This window comes from Homo sapiens, chromosome 5 (assembly GCF_000001405.40).
Source record: "Homo sapiens chromosome 5, GRCh38.p14 Primary Assembly".
NCBI lineage: Eukaryota > Metazoa > Chordata > Mammalia > Primates > Hominidae > Homo > Homo sapiens.
In genome coordinates this window covers 122735654-122757893 of record NC_000005.10, presented here as the reverse complement: position 1 = coordinate 122757893, position 22240 = coordinate 122735654, and the positions used below count along the sequence as shown (strand labels likewise).

Sequence of the window (22240 nt, the reverse complement as noted above, 5' to 3'; positions counted from 1 at the left end):
TGAATTAGGAGCCACCCTAATTAGCTCATTTTAACTTTATTACCTCTGTAAAGATCCTGTCTCCAAATAGTGTCACATTGTGAGGAACTGGGGTTAGGACTTCAACACATGAACTTTTGGAAGAATATAATTCAGCCCATAACACTGTATTTACCCACTTGGTTTCATATGTACTTCACAATTGCATGAAGACAGGGAAAAAACTCAACACATTCTGAAGTAGAAAGCTGATTGTACTGTCATTGTGTTAAAATATTGGGCATAATTTACGTGAAAGTTGAGAAGCAATTTCAGAATGAATCTCCTTTCTTTGCAAGGAATGCCACATTCTTGGTTTTCACTGTGCAGCTGACATGGCCTATACCGAGGCCCAAAAGAACTTCTCCACTCTGTGGAGAAACACTTTTTCATATGAAGAAGTGCAATGCAGAGGATGCTGTGTTTCTCGGCAAAAGAACAAAGCAAACTCATTATGATACTTCTGCTCAATCTTGCATGAATATTTCTTCTTTCCCAGGCAGAAATTAATGTAATTGTCCATCTACACCTCCTATCCCCAAAGCAGTTGAGAAGCCACGCAGATATTCAGTAGACTGTTAAGTCTGTTAACAGCAGGAATTGTTCTGCAGAGCTAGGTACAAAATGCCACCAAAATTTAATTTGTGGTAAATTTAACGGCTTACCAAGGTTGTGTGAAGAGTTACTAATCGAGATTCACATTTTTTCAACTTCTTTCACTAGGCATTCACAGACTTCTCTGTGGGGGAGTTGGCGGATTTCTAGGTAGGACAAATGCTAGGCATGGCCAGGATAACCATGGTGGTTCGAGTGAAAGAGCTCCCAGAAGCTAGGGCACAGTGTCACGAAGCACAGCTCGCTCTTCTTCTTTTGTATCCCTTTACTAACAAAACACCGAGGCAGAGAGGAAAATAAAAGTGACACTGCTTCTTCAAAATCTGTTTTATAGTTAGGGGCTCAAGGTGCCAAACCCAAATAGCCTGGTTTACATACAAAGGGCTATTTATGTAATTAATATTAAAAGTATCTTTATTAAAAGTGGGAAATAAGGCCCAATTTTTGAGTCTTCATGATGACAAGTAGCCAGTTTATCTGTTTCTATTATTTTCAGCCAGTGACTTGACTGACTTCACCAAACAGATCAGATGTTTGGGGCCGCATGAGCACAGCCCCACATGAAACACTGTTTAAAAGTCTTTATATAAAGCCAAATCAGAGGGTTATGAAGATAAACAATTCTTATGAAAAATTGACAGAACATTCCATTTAATTACAAAGACCCAAATTCAAAATCTTAGGGCTGTTGATGCAATTCAAGGGAAGTAAGTAGGTGCTGGAGCAGCCAAATGATTCATTTCCTCCCTCATGACATGAGGGGCTGAAACCTTCTTTCATCAGCATTGGTGAAAAAAAAAGAGGATGTAGAAATCCTTTTCTTTGGTTGCTGAGCTGCTGAGTAGCTGAATGTAACTGTGTAGAATTCTATAACTCAGCATAAATTCGATACTCAATGACTTCTTAGAAACAATGATAGGAAATAACCCATCATCTCTTCTCCATATTTTTTCTCTATTTCATTTACTTTTAAGGAATAAACTTTCCTTAAGAAGCATGTGGTTACATTCTCCTTTAACTCAAGTCTTTGCTGCCTGGGGGTTCTGAAGTCCTTCATCCTTCACCCTTTCCTATAATATCCAAATAACTTCGCCCAAGCCTCCATCCCACTCACAGCAGTCAGAGCCCTCTCTAATAAACCAAGGATATTTTGGAGAGGGGAGTGCTCTCTGCAACTGCATCAAATTACATTGCTGCCTGCATCAATGCTTACATTGCTGGTGCTTCCTTACATCACTCTTGGCTATCCAGTTGTCCTCTTATGCTTCAAACATAACCATATTATACTTCTGCTGAAGGATGGATGACAACAATACAGAGTAATTACAACACAAAATGTCACACATTCCTGTCCGAAAATTCCTCAGCTTCTTTCATCATATAAAATTTCTTTTTGTACAAGGTTCTGGGCTCTGCCTGCCACCATATGACTTGGGCCTCTCTGTCTTCTAGGTTATTCCAAACTCCCTTCCTTCAGCTGCCACTAAGCCACCAACGGCCAATTCTCTTGATATAGTGTCTATCAAATTGGGCATGACTTGTCACTCACCAGTATGAGATAAGTTGTTCTGAGTGTGTTTCTAGTTCTAGATCTCAAACCCTGGCCAAAATGTCTTATTGGTATGCATTTTCATCTAGCGAAGAAAATATTTCCCCAAACTTGCTCTAGAAAGCAAATCTCAAAATTATGTTTGTTTGACATAATTTTTCTTTAGTGGGCAGGTGTATTTTTAGCTCAGGGAAGATTTGGAATTAAATGTAAAAATGATGAAGTAAATCAAAACCATGTTATTAAATTTTTTTGTTAAGGAATAATCTATACTTAGATGTTTATAATGTCTTAGGTATTTTGGCCTATTAGAAGGGTCCCATGATTCCAATTTAAAATGAGTAGCCGGACCGGGTGCGGTGGCTCACGCCTGTAATCCCAGCACTTTGGGAGGCTGAGGCAGGCAGATCACCTGAGGTAGGAAGTTCAAGACCAGCCTGACCAACATGGAGAAACCCTGTCTCCACTAAAAATACAAAATTAGATGGGCGTGGTGGTGCATGCCTGTAATCCCAGCTACTAGGGAGGCTGAGGCAGGATAATCACTTGAACTCGGGAGGTGGAGGTTGTAGTGAGCCGAGATCGTGCCATTGCACTCCAGCCTGGGCAATAAGAGTGAAACTCTGTCTCAAAATAATAATAATAATAAATAAAATGAGTAGCCAGGCGCAGTGGCTCACACCTGTAATCCCAGCACTTTGGGAGGCCGAGGCAGGCAGATCATGAGGTAAGGAGTTCGAGACCAGCCTGACCAACATGGTGAAACCCCGTCTCTACTAAAAATACAAATATTAGCCGAGCATGTTGGCGTGCGCCTGTAATCCCAGCTACTCAGGAGGCTGAGGCAGGAGAACCGCTTGAACCTGGAAGGTGGAGGTTGCAGTGAGCCAAGATCACCCCACTGCACTCCAGCCTGGGAGACAGAGCGAGACTCCATCTTAAAATAAATAAATAAATAAATAAACAAATAAATAAAATGAGTAATTGGGTAATGGTTTTTTAATTGTGATTTTAAGTTAAAATCTCACTAAGTTCATGGAGTATTAGAACAATTAAGAGAATTTAAGATTAACCTTATCTATAAATTTAACTCAGCTGATTTATAAGAATCACTTGACTAAGCAGTGAGGAATTTCTTTGTGAGGTGATGAAAATGTCCTAAAATTGATTGCGATAATGGTTACATATCTTTGGAAATATAGTAAAGTCAGTTAATTATGTACTTTGAGTTGTACACCTTAATTTTATACTTTAAATGGATGAATTGTATGGCATGTGAATCATATCTCAACGAAACTGTTAAAAAATAATTACTTGATACAGAGATTTTTGAGTCAATTGTAATACTAAAAGTTAAAAAAAGTAATATACTTTTAAGTTCAGTTTAAAAATATTTTAAAGCATTAGATTAACTAATATATAAAAGCTCCCTTAAAAGTGAGTGTTAAAATTCACTAAATAGAACATAGAATTTATGAATTATAATTAAAAGCTTAAGGAAAAACTAGGTTTTTAAATTTTAACTTTAACAAATAATATAAAATAAAATATCTCGTGCAGCTTAGAACTCTCCTATGTAATGAAGGATCAGATTTATGCTATATAGTTAGTCACTACAATATACATTAGCAGTACTGGGATTATTGCTTGATGGATTCATAAAAATTCCAGCAAAGTTTCCCCTAAATTAGCAAAATTGGTGTTGAAAATCTAGTAGTTCTGATATTAGAGTCAAACCTCTAACTAGATCCATCTCTGGTCAGTTACAGTTTACAGGAGAAAACAGAGAAAGAAAAGTACCTACCTTCTATGATTATTGTGTGGATTAAATATGATAGTACATATAAATTCTGAGTTACTGGCACAGAGAAGGTACTGAATAAATTTTGTTTATTATTATTAGCTAGTCAGTGACACAGAACATAGTGGGTAAATGCATAGGCTGGACACTTGATATTCTTGTTATTTTTGGCCCCTTAGCATCCATTCCCCTTTCTCTAGCCTTAATTTCCTTTCCCAGGAGTTACCTATTTCTCAATATGCAATCCCTTGTATATCAAAGTGCTTGTCCTCATGGGAAGGCAAGTAAGCCAAGCTAGACTGACTGGATTCCCACCCCCTACCTCTGGAGGATTTGATTCTTGAGTAAGGTGGTACAGGAGAAAATATTTTCTCATCTAAGATACAGGCTGTGTTAGTCCACAGGCAAGCATCGCATGGTGAGCCTGGGGCCACAGCTGGTCAGGGGACAGAGAAGACAAGCTGGGACCTGCTGGGCACCTCTGCATCTGTTTCTTACTGTGTCTGACAATCTCCCAAGAGTCATTGTTGTTGCTTGCTCTGCCTTCCAAATCTTAAACAAGCTCTTTGCCCAACTCTAATTTGGAACAATACAGAGAAGGGAATTCTGTGAAAGAGAGCGTCCAATAAGATGACAACTGCGCATTCCAGCACAGTTTTAAAGAAAATAAATGGAGATGGTATACACGAACACATCAGCACAGGGCCTGGCCTATTGTTAGTATTTACTAAAAGCTCATTTATTTATCACAGTTTTCGTAAATCAAGTGACCTGTGCTAATAGTGTTTAGACTTGAAGTCATTGTTTATGACCATTTCAGACATGTGAATTGCTGACAACATATTGTTAGAATGAATAATATTGCTAGTTCACCATATCTCTTCCCAGGACCATGTTTAGGAACTGTTTATGTGGATACGATAAGAGTTAATTTGGTTAAACATCAAAAACAATAAATACAAGTCCATTTCTTGTATTTAGATTTCTTTTGACTAGCCTTGTAATTGTATCTTCAGCTTTAGAAATAAGAATGATCTTTATCTCATTTCCCTATCAAACTTTTGACTTGTATTGATAAGCTCAATTTCTTTTTCTTTCTTTCTCGTTCTTTCTTCCTTCCTTCCTTTCTTTCTTTTTCTTTCTTTCTTTCTTTCTTTCTTTCTTTCTTTCTTCCTTTCTTTCTTTCTCTCTTTCCTTCCTTCCTTCCTTCCTTCCCTTCTTCCCTTCTTCCTCTCTTTCTCTCCTTCCTTCCTTCCTCTCTTCTTTTCTTTTCTTTCTTTCTCCCTGACAGAGTCTCATTCTCTTCCCTAGGCTGAAGTACAGTGGCACAATTTCCGTTCACTGCAGCCTTGACCTCCCAAGCTCAAGCAATCCTACCACCTCAGCCTCCCAAGTAGCTGGGACTACAGGTATGTGCAACTATGCTTGACTAATTTTTGTATTTTTTATAGAGAAAGGGTTTCACCATGTTGTCCAGCTTGGTCTTGAACTCCTGAGCTCAAGAGATCCCACCCCCTTGACCTCCCAAAGTGCTGGGATTACAGGCATGCACCACCATGCCCGGCCCAACCAATATATTTTTCTTTCTTTCTTTCTTTTTTTTTTTTTTGAAACAGAGTCATGCTCTGTCACCCAAGCTGGAGTGCAGTGGCACAATCTTGGCTCACTGCATCCTCAGCCTCCCGGGTTCAAGCATTTCTCCTGCCTCAGCCTCCCGAGTGGCTGGGATTACAGGCTCTCGCCACCACACCCAGCTAATTTTTGTAATTTTTAGTAGAGACAGGGTTTCACCATGTTGGCCAGGGTGGCCTCGAACTCCTGACCATAGGTGATCCACTCACCTTGGCCTCCCAAAGTGCTGGGATTACAGGCATGAGCCACCGTGCCCGGCCCCAATATCTTTTTCTTATGATATACTTTCTTCAACCTGATTTCTTTCTTTCAGCTTTCTAGCATAGAGTTCATTGATTAAACTATGCTAATTTATTACTTGTATTCTTTTTGCCTGTACTTTTCTTACAAAGGAGGTAGCTTATTAGCTCTTAAAAGACTGTCTGTAATTGTAACAGAAGGAATGCTAAGCTGAGATTTTGAAGATAATTTAGTAAAAGAGCTATTTACAGAGGTGTAGGTAGGGCTAAGGGAACCAGCAAGGACTGTTGAGGCATCCAGGGACTAGCAACAATGGAATGTTATCACTGCCCCGCCTGAAGGGACCAGGGGAGGAAATGGCCTGTTACGTGCTGATGTGCTGACGCAAGCAAGAGGGATTGCCCATAGGAGCTGTAGTTATAAAGCAACAGAGTCACCATGGGAACTTTCTGCTGGAACAGGACAGGAATGAAAGAAGAAATGATCCACCTTTTTTTTTTTTTTTGCCCGCTGATCTCCTGCCATTGCCTCTCACTGGGTGAACACAATTAGCCAGAGGGCAAGAGAGGGTGGATGATGCAGTCTCTAGAGGGCAACTCCCCTGGGGAGCAGAAGACTCATACATGTGCATTTGTATTCGTGTGAGTGCTAAGTGAGTTCTGTGAATGTCCTCTGGGACGGTGTCAGAGAGACCCCGGGATAGGGAGTAAGAGGTACTCAAAACAGGCTGAGGTGAGGTGCTGTTGCTGACAGGCTGAGCATGAAGGTGGTAGAACTTGCTACTGGTCACCAAAGCTGTGACAGGATTAAGAGGCAAGGAAAAGAGGCTAAGAAGTGGTGCACAGGAGGTGTCTCATACAATTCTCTAACAGCTCTCTCTAATCATGAGCTATGGTCTTTCTTTCCAACTAGGTGACTATAAATGGTGTTAGTAGAGAGATCATGTTTGTTTTGTTTTATTAGTGTATATCCCATTTGTCTTTTGATGATTTCTTGCACTGGGTGAAAACTACAAAAACAAAAAACAAAAAAACAAAAACAAAAACTTAGAAAAAGACTGTTTTCTATTAGAATAGTCTTAACCTTTTCACCATAAAATCATTCTTAGTAGAATAGTAGTCAATTAGCAGGTAATACACATTTGTTGTATCTCCGGTTATTAAAGAGTTAATCTCAGCAACAGAAAGGGGGAAATAAAAGAAGCAATGGACAGGATTTTTCCACAACTGATTAATGAATTGAAAAGTTGAAAGTTATTCTTTAAATAATTTTTAGCCAAACCAGTAGTGTTTTACATATTTATTAATCCAATAAATGTTTATGAAGCAGCTTTTAGGTTTTTTTAAAAAGATCATTTTATTTTACATTGGAGAAGCTTCTAGTCATTTTGCTTTCTTGATACAGTTCTGCTTATCTCTTTATATTTTTCCCTAAGTTTTGTGATCTAATTCCTTGATTTTCTGCCATATTCAACCTGCTTTTAACAGTCTGTATTTGTAGGCAGAAAAGCATCAACGGTTAAGAAACCAGACTCTGGCTGGGTGCGGTGGCTCACGCCTGTAATCCCAGCACTTTGGGAGGCCAAGGCGGGTGGATCACAAGGTCAGGAGATCAAGACCATCCTGGCTAACACGGTGAAACCCTGTCTCTACTAAAAATACAAAAAAAATTGGCCAGGCATGGTGGCGGGAGCCTGTAGTCCCAGCTACTTGGGAGACTGAGGCAGGAGAATGGCGTGAACCCGGGAGGCAGAGCTTGCAGTGAGCCGAGATCATGCCACTGCACTCCAGCCTGGGCAAGAGAGTGAGACTCTGTCTCAAAACAAACAACAAAAAAAAGAACAGGCTCTGAGCCAGGCTACTTTGGATTGAATTCAGGGTAAACCACTTCCTAGTGTGTATCTTGGGCAAGATATTTAACATAATAAATGGTTCAATTTATCATTTACAGCCTGAGGAGAAAATGGAGAACATGGCTTGCCTAACCTATAAGGATGTTGAAAGGATTAAGTGAGCTAACAAATGTTAAGTGCTCAGTGCATTGACTGGCACGTGGAAAACACTAAATAAATGGTTGATGCTATTATAATGAGACTTTCAGGTCAGCATTGATGACTTCAATTTGCTCCCTTTTAATTTATCATGTCAATACATGTTTGAAAATAAAAATATGGAAAACATGCTGGGCGTGGTGGCTCACACCTGTAATCCCAGCACTTTGGGAGGCCAAGGTGGGTGGATCACCTCATATTGGGAGTTTGAGGCCAGCCTGACCATCATGGAGAAACCCCATCTCTACTAAAAATACAAAAATATTAGCCAGGTATGGTGGCGCATGCCTGTAATCCCAGCTGAGGCAGGAGAATCACTTGAACCCAGGAGGCGGAGGTTGCGGTGAGCCGAGATCATGCCATTGCACTCCAGCCTGGGCAACAAGAGCGAAACTCTGTCTTGGAAAAAAAAAAAAAAATCTGGAAAACAGAGGGGATAAAAACCTCACTCCAAATCATAACATCTAGGAAAAATTACTGTTAATAGTTTAGTGTGCAGTGCCTTATGCTCATAATCCCAACATTTTGGAAGGCCAAAGTGGGAGGATTGCTTGAGCCCAGGAGTTGGAGACCAGCTTGGGCAACATAGTGAGACCCAGCTTTTACAAAAAATAAAATTATTATAACTGGGCATAGTGGTGTGTGCCTGTAGTCCCAGCTACTCAGGGTAAGGTGGGAGAATTTCTTGAGTTCAGGAGGTTGAGGAAGCAGTGAGCTGTGATCATGCCACTGCATTCTAACCTGGGTGACAGAGCGAGACCCTGTCTGAAAAACAAACAACAACAACAAAACAGTTTGGTGTTATTCATATGTAATAAAAAGTTACTAGAGGCCGGCACGGTGGCCCACGCCTGCCTGTAATCCCAGCACTTTGGGACGCTGAGGCACGTGGATCACTTGAGGTCAGGAGTTTGAGACCAGCCTGGCCAACAAGGCTAGACCCCCGTGTCTACTAAAAATACAAAAATTAGCAGGCCGTGGTGCCGTTCGCCTATGATCCCAGCTACTCGGGAGGCTGAGGCAGGAGAATCGCTTGAACCCTGGAGGTGGAACCTGCAGTGAGCTGAGATCATGCCACTTCACTCCAGCCTGGGCAACAGAGAGAGACTCCATCTCAATTAAAAAAAAAAGGAGTCATTAGAGGGTTTCCATGCTGCTTTGTTTCCATACTATTAAATTTAGTATTATTACATCATGAACATTTTTACAAATAAATATTATTTCACACAATTATGTTTAATGACTATTCAATATTCTAAATAATAACTAAACAGCATAATTTTTTGGGGGGTGGGGAACAGGTTCTTGCTCTGTTGTCCAGGCTGGAGTGCAGAGGCACAATCACTGCTCACTGAAGCCTTGACCTCCCAGGCTCAAGCAATCCACCCGAGTAGCCAGGACTACAGGTGTGTGCCATAATGCCCGGCTGATGTTTAAATTTTTTTTTGTAGAGACGAGGTTTCACTATGTTGCCCAGGCTGGTCTTGAACTCCTGGGCTCAAGGGATCCTACCACCTTTGCTTTCCAAACTTGGGATTACAGGTATGAGCCACCGTGTCTGGCCTAGCATGATTATTTTTAATGATTATCTATACAGACACACAATTTTCTCTCCTAGCTAGGTCTCTGATTTTTGAACATTTAGACTGTATTCAATTTTTCCCTGTTATAGACTATTGTGGTGAGCAGCTACTTAATGAATAGTTTTGCATCCATGTTTACCTATTTTTTTTTCAGGATAACTTTCAAGAAACTGGGTTGTTCTTTCAGGCTATCAAAAATTGATATTTTATATTTTAAAATTATTACCCATTATTAAAATGCCTTTCATATGAGGCATATCCTACTAGTAACACCATGTAAACCCCATAAGGGCAGGAATTTTGGTCTATTTCATTCACAATTGTATACAAAGTACATAGAAAAGTGTGGATTAAAAAATGCTTTTCAGTGAAGAAAACAAACGAAATATTGTGAGTACATAATAATATGAACTAAAATGAGTGAGATAATCATGAAGACCGCTGCTAACAATACAAAAAGAGAAAAAAGTGAACAAGCATTTTTAAAACATTATTTTTAGAAAACAACAACATCTTAATTGTTTCAGAAATGTCTTCCTACATTCTCATAGGGCAATTAAGAATATTGCTGGTTGGGCACAGTGGCTCATGCCTGTAATCCTAGCACTTTGGGAGGCCAAGGCAAGTGGATCACCAGAGGTCAGGAGTTTGAGAGCAGCCTGACCAATACGGTGAAACCCCGTCTCTACTAAAAATACAAAAATTAGCCGGGCGTGGTGGCATGGGCCTGTAATCCCAGCTACTTGGGAGGCTGAGGCAGGAAAATCGCTTGAACTCGAGAGGCAGAGGTTGCAGCAAGGCGAGATCACGCCACTGCACTCCAGCCTGAGCAACAGAGTGAGACTTTGTCTCAAAAAAAAAAAAAAAAAGAAAGAAAGAAAGAAAAAAGAATATTGCTAACCTCTCTTTGCCTGCTGCCATCCACATAAGATGTGACTTGCTCCCCCTTGCCTTCCGCCACGATTGTGAGGACTCCCCAGCCATGTGGAGCTGCCACTCTGGCTACAATATGAAGAGCAGATTGTGGGAGCCATAGCAAGATTAGTTAAGAGACACCAGCAATAGTCCAGGAAGAAAGGATGGACCCTTCCCTAGGATGTGGAGAGAAGCTGATGGATTTGAAACACATTTTGGAGGTTTCTGCCAGTGCCATTGAACCCTGACCCTTTATGCAATATCCAGGGTGATCTGAGGCTCCCAGCCACCCCTAGCTCCAGGGTCCACACATGTCGTGGCTCCCACTGAACCCCAGAGAAGACAGAAACTCAAAGGAGACCAGAGAGTTTCTGCAAGCTGGAAAGATGTCGAATGGACACTGAGGTGGGGAGTGCTAGAAGATGGGAACAGACACCTGCAAGTTTTTGCCACCAGCACCAACTTGTAGATTCAAGTTTGAGCCCTCATTTGCAAATGTCTGTGTAAAAGACTCAATCTCCCATCACCTCAACGGGACATGACTTGGCTGGCAGGACAAAGCATCCTGAGGAGAAAAGTAGCTTGCCCAGGACTTCACAGGAAACTTACAGGAGCCCTAAGTGGGCCACACTGCTCAGAGGGAGGAGGACTATGTGGAGAGCAGGGATCCCACAGCCACACCAAGGCAACTGCAGAGGCACTCTATGTGCTGGAACAGCTGAACCACAAGAGGAGTTCCCTGAAGCTCTTGCCTCTGGCCAAAACTGCTCAAATGACAGGTAATGCATTCCCAACTCCCTCTTTCCTTTTCTTACACATACAGGTGTGTGTGGGTGTAGATACAAATGTAGATATATAGTATATAAAATCCCACAACACAACAGAGTATAACATAAGAGATAATACCATACAATATAATATCCTTATATGCCAACATTGAGATCAAGACTCTTGAGACCAAGTTTTTGACAACATTCTATTTTACCAACTCCAGCTCGCTGGAAGTCAGTTCAGAGCAGAGTTGCTCTGAGAGCTCTGCCCCTACCATTATTCTCTGAGGAGACACCACTTGTACTTCCAAATGTTGTGGGTAGATTTTTTGCTCAATTCACAGAACCAGAACCTTCCAGGTTACATGTACAGCCAATAATCAGCAGGCTCCCCAGGCTGGGCAAACAGTTCATCCCAGATCACGTCTTTTGTCCAGCAAAAGCCGGCTCACACTTGCAGATGGCAGAAGAGTCTCCTCTAAGTGCCACAGGCCCTTCTGCCTCCCTTTTTTGACCCCCTATTTGCCTTCTCATTTTCTCCTGCTGCTAATGTTATAAAGAATGAGCTGATCTCCGCAGTCTCACTTCCATCCATGCCTAGATGTTGACCCCTAACTCTCCTCATATAATAAAAAGATAAAATTCTGCCAGAAAAGAATATTGCTAAAAATTTAATTGTGACTAATATATTCATTATAATTAAAGATTTAGAAATGCTATATTTCTACTCCTGTAGTAGATGCATTGCATGCCTGCCCAATGGCCATTTCCCCTTCCTCCATCTTTGTAAAATCCTCATTTTGTTCAAGTGTCCTTCTTTCCCACCTGGCCACATATTCTGCATCTTGGCAGGTGTGGGAATGTGGTAATCCTGATTGCTCTAAACCACCAATAGCAGTTTCATCACCATTGACAATGATTGGTTCAGGAAAAGCATGTGACACACTTCTGGCCAATGAGACCTGTGGAGAAGTTTCATGGATGTGTGAATGGTGGATTCTGGGAAAATTTTCCGTGATCTTAAAAGGAAACTCGGACTTTCCCTTCTGTCTCTGAATGTTCTATTAATTCCTGGAATTATCCATTGGCAGGGGTTGGGGAGTTAGTCTGAGGATGAGACTGATATACTGAAGAGGCAGAGCAGAAACATGAAAAGAACCAGAATCCTTGGAAATATCATTGGGCTGCTGAATTTACCAGCCCTGAACCCACCCTGCCTCATGACTTCTTACCATGTGAAAATGTTTCTTCGTATTGTTTTAACAAAGTAAGACAAACCTTTCTGTTCCTAGCAGCTGAAAGCATTGTAATCAATATAATGTGCTACTGACATTATCTCAAATATTTTGGTGTAAGCCACGTGTGTAGTACATTTACAGTCATTTGATAATTATTAGAGTGTGCCTTTAAATAACAACACAGGCATGTAGCTACATATTTCGTGTATATGCCATATAGTCATATGCCGTGTTGGTCAGTTGGTATGTTGACCAGAAGGTGCCAACACAGTCCTCTAGATGGGAGACATAGGCGGGAGGCATGGGAATGGCTGAATACTGAACTCTCAGAGCAATAAAACAGTTCCTCCAGCAATATGCCTTGTGGTAAAATACTACAAGGTATGAATTCCTGGACTGGGCCTCATGGCACAACACAGGTTAAAAACATTTATAAAACACTTATGATATGCCAGGCACTAGCCTTAACTTTGAGAACTCAAAGCTAAATAAAACACTGCCCCACTTCTGGGAGAAAAATATGATTATTTCATAGTAATTTTAATTTTTATCATGTTTCCAGGAATGAAAAAATGAGCTTTGTTTAATGCATGTTGATGCTGTTATACAGTTTCTTTCTTTCTTTACAATCTTTAAGGGATTATAAATAAATTATGCTACTTTAAAACCCTAGAAAGAGAACTAAAGACATGTGTGAAAGGCTCGAGGATAAGTCCTTATTTATGAAAACTGCCATATATATATATATATATTTTTTTTTTTCTGCAGTTCTATGCTACAATGCTACTTTTGAAAGGACCAAAGGATTCATCTTGTTTTGGATTCATAGCTCATCCCACTAGAGAGGTAAACTTGTAGTTAATATCCTAATACATTTTTTAGCATGTATTTTATGAGAAAGGTGAAATATTATAATATTTTTGATGGCTTATCAATAAGATACACATTTAGTTTTACTACTTTCCAGGTTATTAGGCTGTTGAGTAAAAGCAATATTGCTAGATAAAGGAGGTATCCATTTGATAACAGGCATGTAGAATGCAAATTGGTCTTTAAGATATATGTTCCTAGGTGCCCTGTCTGATTTCTTTAAGTTGACATTTAAAAACTTAAGTTCCAAAGTTCTTGGGCATCATTCTCCTTCTTTTATTGATCTTCCTTTAAACCTATCACTGACCAACATTTAAAGACAACACATAAATCATACATATAAAGTTATAAGGTTACCAGAGTAATGTAATAAGTAATAAGATAAACCTGTCAGCTGGGTGCCCTGGCTCATGCCTGTAATCCCAGGACTTTGGGAGCCCAAGGTGGGTGGATCACCAGGTCAGGAGTTTGAGATCAGCTTGGCCAACGTGGTAAAACCCCGTCTCTACTAAAAATACAAAAATTAGCCGGGCGCGGTGGCAGACAACTGTAATCCCAGCTACTTAGGAGGCTGAGGCAGGAGAATTGCTTGAACCCAGGAGGCGGAGGTTGCAGTGAGCTGAGATTGTGCCACTGCACTCCAGGCTGGGCGACAGAGCAAGACTCCATCTCAAAACAAAACAAAACAACAACAACAAAAAAGATAAACCTGTGAGACCCTGGTCAAAGCCCTCTTTGAGGGAGGAGTTTGCCAGTGACCTGTGCCATACTGTGAAGCCCAGTCTAGGAATTCACACCCCGTAGTATTTCACCACAAGGCATGTTGCTGTAGGAACAGTTTTATTCCTGAGAGTTCAGTGCACCATTCCCATGCCTCTCACCTATGTCTCCCATGAGGAGGACTGTGTTGGCACCTTCTGGTCAGCATACCAACTGACCAATGAATATTTCAGAGGTCTTTCAGGGTTTTACCCTTCAACCCTACCCCCAATCTCCCACATGACTTAGCGGAAGATTCTTGCCTTCCAGGCTGATTCTTGATTCGTTAGACTCAAGACCCGTTGCAGTAATTACAGTAAAACTGATCACTCCCACAGAGATGACAGATTAACTCCCATGAGAGGTCATCTTAAGCTGGCTGTTACAAAGGTTGCAGCTACACCTTAAGCTGGCTGTTACAAAGGTCTCAGCTGCTCAGAAGACTGAGGTGGGAGGATGACTTCAGCCTGGGAGGTGGAGGTTGCAGTGAGCTGAGATTGCACCACTCTACTCCAGCCTGGGTGAGAGAACACAGACCCTGTCTCAAAATAAAGGCAAAAAAAAAAAAAAAAAAAAAAAGCAGCAGCCAAGTAAATTTATTAAGTGCCTAATTATTTAATGTGAGAAGTCTGGTGATAAGCAGCCCTTTTTATTTAACAAAGTATTGTCTTCACTTTTCCATATATTACATGAAAGATCTTACAAAACCTTTTTGCTCTTCTGCTATTGTCTATAAACTTGTTCCCTGTTTCCAAGGAACAGGGAGTGAATGTAAGTTATAGGCCATTAGTTCTTTAGCTCCCTTATTATTTTATAGATTGTGAATTTATTTCCTATATCTGTAATGCTCACTTGCTTCATTTAGAAAATCTGTATGTAAATGTTTTATTGAAAAATAATCATAATTACAGTTATTAAAATTTTTCATCTAAATGCTTACATAATTCATTTATTCTTCTATTTAACAAATATTTACAGATATTTACTGTGTGTTAGACATTTTTCTGGGCATGAGACACCGAGCAGTGAATAAATATGAAAAAAAAAATCCCTATCCTCATGAAGCTCACATTTAAGTAGGACAAGACTGATGCTAAATAAAACAAATAAGTAAAATATACAGAATGTTAGTGGCATGGAGAAGAAATAATGCAGAAGAGAAGGATACTGAATGCTGGAGGCAGGGCTGCAATTTTAGACTGAACAATCATAAAAGAGGTGGTGGCTTTGTAATGTGTAACTTGACTAGGCTGAATGATGTCTCTCCTGTGTGTTTTTTTGCGCAATATTTGGAGGGAAGACGTGAAACAGCCACCATGTTGTTTTTTATGTTTAGAAAGTCAGGACAGGTAATGCTGTGGCCCTTTTACTGGCTCACTTCATTAATATAGCACAGAAGCTGGGCCTGCAACTGTTCACCTTCCCCGGCATCCTCCTGCAGCTTCTCTGACTCCTGGGTCAGGTGTGTGTTTAGTTCTGTGATGAAGGGAGCTGGCTTCTTATGTAGGATAGCCCCATCATCTGGTTGGAGGCAATGAGAACTGATAGGGGGTCCAGCGTGCCCTGTTGGATTCCGGCCCACTGACCAGGCTCTCTTCAACTTTATATCCATCTCTCCTTCCTACTCTCTAATCTATAGACTTCAAACTCCAGCATGAAATGCAAAGAAAACAGCCTTACAGAGTCTGGTTAATGAGCTCCTACAATTGATTAAGTCAAATCCATGTAACAAATTCATTTTCTCTCTCTCCTTCTCTTTTCAACTAATTCTGCTTCTTTGATTGAAACATGTCTAAAACAGAAGTCCTGTCTGAAAATGTGATATCTGAACAAAGATCTAAAGGAGGTGAGCTGTGCATATCTAAAGGAGCAAGCTATACAGATAGAGATCTGGCAGAGAACAGCAAAGGCAGAGGCCCTAAAGCAGGAGCATGCCTGGTGCGGTTGAAGAATAGCAAGGAAGCCAGTGAGGTGAGATCACAATCAGGGTGGGGAGAGGAGCTGGTGATTAGTTCAGGGGGTGGGGGGTGGCAACTATAGACTGCATAGATCTTTGGCCATTGAGTGCATTGAGTTTTACTGTGAGTAAGATGGGGAGCTATTAGAGGATTTTGGAGCAGAGGAGTGAACGATTTGGCTGACATTTTAGCAGAATGCCTATGACAGCTGTGTGGAGAATCAACTGCAAAGTGGAAAGAATGGAAGCTGAGGGAACAGTTGAGAGGCTATTTTAGGATTCAGGCAAAGATAGTGATGGTTTGGAGCAGTGGGAGCATTGGTGGTGATAGGTGTTGGGTTTGGAATATTATTCCAAGGTAGAGTTGACAGAATTTGCTGATGAAAATTTTGAAGAATTTAAGGTAAAGAGAAGAATGAAGGATGATTCTTGGTTTTTGGCCTGAGCAGCAAGGTGAATAGTAGGATGGAGGAATGGCCATGGAGGAAGATTTGTGAAAGAAAATTGAAGATTTTGTTTTAGATATAATTTTGAAACATTTATTTTACACTCCAATGAATGGTCTAGAGTTCAGATGAGGAAAGAGTCAGGGTGGAGAAACACAATTGTGAGATGTTACAATGAAATTTAGACCACGGGCACACTGAGATTACCTAGGGACCCAGTGACCCTGACAAGAGCTGTTTCAGTAGAGTTGTGAGGGTTAAAGCCTACCTGGCGTGTATTCGAGACAAAATGGGAGAAGAGGAATTGAAGGTAGCAAACCTAGACAATACTATTGAGTTTTCCTGCCACCAATGTGAATTTATATCCCCAGTCCAAGTATATTTGAAATACCGCCAGTCATTTGTATCTTACAGATACATTCATGAGGAAGGAATATTTTATTTTTGTTCATATGTATATCTTTCCCACTAGCCAACCAGCACCCAGAGGGAAGAATCTGTATTTTTCTCATCTTTCTATTCTTGCCAAACACAATGCACGAGCTAGATATTTATTGAATAATAAACACCTTTAATTAAGTGCTTCTCTGAGTTAAATGCTTTGTCTATATAAGGTTCTTGGAAATATTTAAGAGTTCAACTGGGCATGGTTTTCAAATGATCATAGCAGTCAAAAAATACATTAGCATCTAAGGACTAGGGGGAAAGGCTGTTCATATTCTTCATAATTGTTGTTAGTCATGGACTGAAAATAGGTAATGGCTTTTTTTTTTTTTTTTTTGAGACAAAGTCTCGCTCTCTCGCCCAGGCCAGGGTGCAGTGGCTTGATCTCAGCTCACAGCAACCTCCGCCTCCAGGGTTCAAACGATTTTCTTGCCTCAGCCTCCCAAGTAGCTGGGATTACAGGCGGCCACCATGATGCCCAGCTAACTTTTGTATTTTTAGTAGAGATGGGGGTTTCACCATGTTGGCCAGTTTGGTCTCCTGACCTGAAGTGATCCACCCACTTCAGCCTCTCACAGTGCTGGGATTACAGGCATGAGCCACGGCGCCCAGTTGGTAATGGCTCTTTTTTTTTTTTTTTTTTTTTTTTGAGACGGAGTCTCATTCTGTCACCCAGGCTGGAGTGCAGTGGCACGATCTTGGCTCACTGCAACCTCCGCCTCCTTGGTTCAAGCAGTTCTCCTGTCTCAGCCTCCTGAGTAGCTGGGATTACAGGCACCCACCACCACTCCCAGCTAATTTTTGTATTTTTAGTAGAGATGGGGTTTCACCATGTTGGTCATGCTGGTCTCAAACTCCAGACCTCTTGATCCGCCCACCTCGGCCTCCCAAAGTGCTGGGATTACAGGTGTGAGCCACCACGCCCAGCCGGTAATGGCTCTTTCTAAAGAATTATGCAGTTTTGCACTGGAATAAGGAAGCAGAAGGAAAGTCAGAAATGAATTCAGAAAGTAAAGGAGAGGATGCTAGATTGCATAATCCTTTTGAAAGTAAGTTGCTGGGCACAGTGGCTCACGCCTGTAATCCCAGCACTTTAAGAGGCTGAGGCGGGTGGATCACCTGAGGTCAGGAGTTCTAGACCAGCCTGGCCAACATGGTGAAACCCTGTCTCTGCTAAAAATACAAAAATTAGCCAGGCGTGGTGGTGCATGCCTCTAATTCCAGCTACTCAGGAGGCTGAGGCAGGAGAATCGCTTGAACCCAGGAGGTAGAGGTTGCAGTAAGCTGAGACCGCGCCATTGCACTCCAGCCTGGGCAACAAGAGACAAGAGCAAAACTCCATCTCAAGAAAAGAAAGAAAGAAAGAAAGAACGAAAGAAAGAAAGAAAGGAAGGAAGGAAGGAAAGAAAGAATTTTTCTAATCATATATTTAACCTATTTTTATCTTGATGCACTGTAAAAAAAATGCTTATAAGTATCGCTTGCATTTCTGGCAGTTTATTGACTTAATCAAAGGTTTAAGGATTTTAAGAAGCATAAAAACAATTTTCTAGAAAAAACAGTTTTCTAGAAGAATAAACAGTTTTCTAGAAAAAAAATGGTAATAATTATTAGAGGAGAGACCCAAATAGACTCCATATTAAGATGGGTAAAGAATGCTGAGGAAACCGAAAAACTTAAATAAAGGGAATATCAGGACATTATAGGGCCAAAGAAATAATAGCATTGCTATAAGGAATGTAAATCTGTCTAACATAGAAGTTTTTTGTTACAATTGTTAACACTGCAATGCTATGTATTGGAGATGCTACAGACTGAATTGTGTCTCCTCAAAATTCAAATGTTGAAGCCCCAGTGTGACTGTATTTGGATACAGAGCCTTCAGGAGGTAGTTATGAGTAGGTAAGTTCATGAAGATGGAGCCCTAATCCTAATGGTTTGGTGTCTTTATAAGAGGAGGAAAAGAGCTCTCTCTCTCTGTCTGCCATGTGAGGAGAAGGCAAGAAGGCTGACTGCAAGCCAGGAAGAGAGCCCTAGCTAGAAACTGAACTCTGCGTGACTTAAGCAAATTAATTTTCTCCCAATTCTGGAGGCTGGAAAGTCCAAGGTAAAAATTTTGGCAGTCTACGGTATTTTGTTATGGCAGCCTAAGTAAACTAAGACAGGAAGGAAACAACAGTTAAAAATGGAAAAACGTAGTACTATTTTATTAATACATGAAAAAACCCAGACCCCTTAGAATGAAATATGTACATAATGCTAGGTACATTCAGTTTTCTTTAATCCTCAGTAGAATTCATTGAGATAGGATTATGATTCCCATTTTAGTGAAGTTCAGTGAAATTAAGTAATTTATTCAAGGTTATGCAGCTAGTAAGTGGAAGAGTCAGGTTTTGTACTTAGCTCAGTTTGATATCAAAGGCCATGTTCTTATCTATCATTTATTAATTCTTCAAAAAGTACTTGAGTCTCTGCTATGTGGCAGGTCCTGAAATGGATGTAGACATTCTTTCAACTTGTTCCCTGCCCTCAAGGGGCTTACAACCTTAGGTTCTAGGATTTGAGCCAGGATTAATTATCCTGAAAGCCTAGGCCAGGTGTAGTGGTAGCAACTACCTCAGGGCTGGAGGGCATGGAGCCAAGAAGGAAACATTTCAGATAACCAGATGGAAACATCAGATAGGTAAGATTTGAAGTGAAAGGTGACTATTGGAATCTGAAACATTCTTGTGTGTTCTAGAACAATACTTCTTACAATATAGTGTGCATATGAATCACCTGGAGATCTTGTTAAAATATAGTTTCTGATTCAGTAGGTTTTGAGTAGGCCCTGAGTCTGCATTTCTTTCTTTCTTTTTTTTTGCTTTGAGACAGAGTCTTGCTCTGTCACCCAGGCTGGAGTGCAGTGACATGATCTCAGCTCACTGCAACCTCCGCCTCCCAGGTTCAAGCAATTCTCCTGCCTCAGCCTCCTGAGTAGCTGGGTTTACAGGTGCGCACCACCATGCCAGGCAAATTTTTGTATTTTTAGTAGAGACGGGGTTTTATCATGTTGGCCAGGCTGGTCTCCAATTCCTGATCTCATGATCTGCCCCCCTCGGCCTCCCAAAGTGCTGGGATTACAGGAGTGAGCCACCGTGCCCGGCCGAGTATACATTTCTTAAAGAAAACACCTCCCAGGTAGCATGGTAGCTGCTGGTCCAGGGGCCACATTAAAAGCTCAAGAAGTTAGAAAGCAGCAGTAATACTTGTTTTTTTGGGCACCTCCACCCTTCAGCCCAGAGAGAGCACAGATAGAGACACCACATAATGTGGTGTCACATAATCTAGCCACACATAATATGTGTGGTAGATATGGCCACACATAATCTAGCTCACTGTGGGGTAAGGAAACAGGGGCCTTTGGTAAGAAAATACAGGTTCTTTTAAAAAAACTGTTCTTTATTGAGCACCCTGGTATAATTAAATCGGGTTTTATGGTTCTATATAGCCCCAAGTGATCAGTTTGACATAATTTTGAATTTTACAACTTGTGCTTTGATTTCCATAGGGGTTCATATTTTTAACTTCTTTATTTGAAATCATTGTGACATCCTTGTCGTAGAAGGTATAGAAAGAAATTAAAACAAATTTCCCAAACCAAAGCATTATATATACAGTAAGGTATTTTTATATGTTCTGAACAGTCATGTAATTAACTTTATTTCAGTTGTGGACACTGAAACTTGATAACATTTCCTCTTCCTTCACTCCCATATTTAATGACAAATTATATCTGAGGCTGACCAACAAGATGATTTGTTTTTTCTGAGCCATGAATAGCTAGGAAACTCCATTCTATTTTGGGATAAAATACAATCTTTTAGTAGCAAGAATTTGATAAAACAATTTCTGTGATGATTTCTTCTGAGGCTTTCCAATCCCTTAGACAATACTTTATTCTTCTCCATGAATAATTTGGAGCCTTTTAATTGCTAATGTTTCCATCCAGGAAAGCCTGAGAAGATATAAACATTTTAAACAACCTTCTAAAGTTGGCTCTGAGTCCTTTTGTTCAACTCAAATACACGTACTTTTACAATGGGAGGATTTAAAATAGTTATAAAAATCAAAGCCTTTCTTTGTCTTCTTTTGTAATCCCTGCTCTATCCTCATGATACTTATCACTTCATATTTATACGGTAACTTTCTCCAACTTTCCCAGCATGTATCATATGCTTTAAAAGACTGTCGAAATATTCCTATGGCAAAGATAGATTAAAAGGAACAGCAAAAACAACTTTTATCCTCTTTCCCTGCCCTGGCCTCTTCAGCACCGTCACAAACAAACCTTAAACTCTAAACAGAACAGAAAACTTTTATGAAGTTAAGGAAATTGGAGTTGGAACAGTAACAGATTTACTAAAAGGCAAAAATAAAGTGTTGCTCCAGGAAGGGAAGTTACACAGGAAATAGTGGGGATCTGACAAGAAGCAACTGCAGATTATTGTAGGCTGTGGCCAAACACCAGTTTAGGATTTTTCCTTCCTTTCTAGTTTTGCTGCCACTTCCCCAGAAGAGACCACTATCACCAATTTGTGCAGACTTTTGCAATTTACTCCCACTTGACCGCCTTACCTCCCCCATCATTCCCTTGCATCGCAGTTCATCTTCTCTCCTGCCACAGACTCTAAGTTCATGAAAGCGTAGAACCACAGCTGCAGACCTGCCTCATCCCCAAACACAGCTAACCACCTTGCAGTTCCTCTAGGTACCTCTGCGTAATGCTAACTGCTGTGACTAACCCCAAACTTTCTATGGCTTAACATTGTGGAGATTTTAAAAACATATTCAGAACTGGAAAGAGTGGTAAAATGAACTCCCTTTACCCTGTCAGTCAGCGATGACAATTTTTAAATTTTTGTCAGTCTCGTATCATCTATTCCCAACTATTTGTTATTTTTGTTGAATTATTTTAAAAGAAATCTCAGACATCACAGCATTTCAGCTGTAAATACTTCAGCATATAAGAAATAAGGATATTAAACACACCCACCCACAATGCCATTATCCTCCTGAACATGCCTAACAATTTCTTAATATAAGCTAATATCCAGTCCTTGACATTTTCACAACTGTACAGAAGAAGTATTTTCCAATTGGTTTGTTTGAATCATTATCATTTGGTTGTTACATCTCTTAAATCTCTTTCACTCTGTAACTGTTCCCCACCTTCCCCTACCCCTGTATCATTTATTGGCTGAGGAAATCAGATCTTGCTCTTTAAATAGTCCCACATCATGGAAGAGACTGGTTGCTTCCCTGTGGTGTTGTTTAATTTGTTCCTCTATCCATTCCTCTTGCCTTCCATTTG

At 40.5% G+C, this 22240-nt stretch overlaps 1 annotated feature.

Moving 5' to 3' along the window:
* Nucleotides 5825–6391: an enhancer, noted in NCBI's record as "NANOG-H3K27ac hESC enhancer chr5:122087198-122087764 (GRCh37/hg19 assembly coordinates)". NCBI's record gives its function as "activates a minimal SCP1, AML or CMV promoter by ChIP-STARR-seq in primed H9 embryonic stem cells {active_cell/tissue: H9 hESC(primed)}" and the evidence as "EXISTENCE:reporter gene assay evidence [ECO:0000049][PMID:30033119]".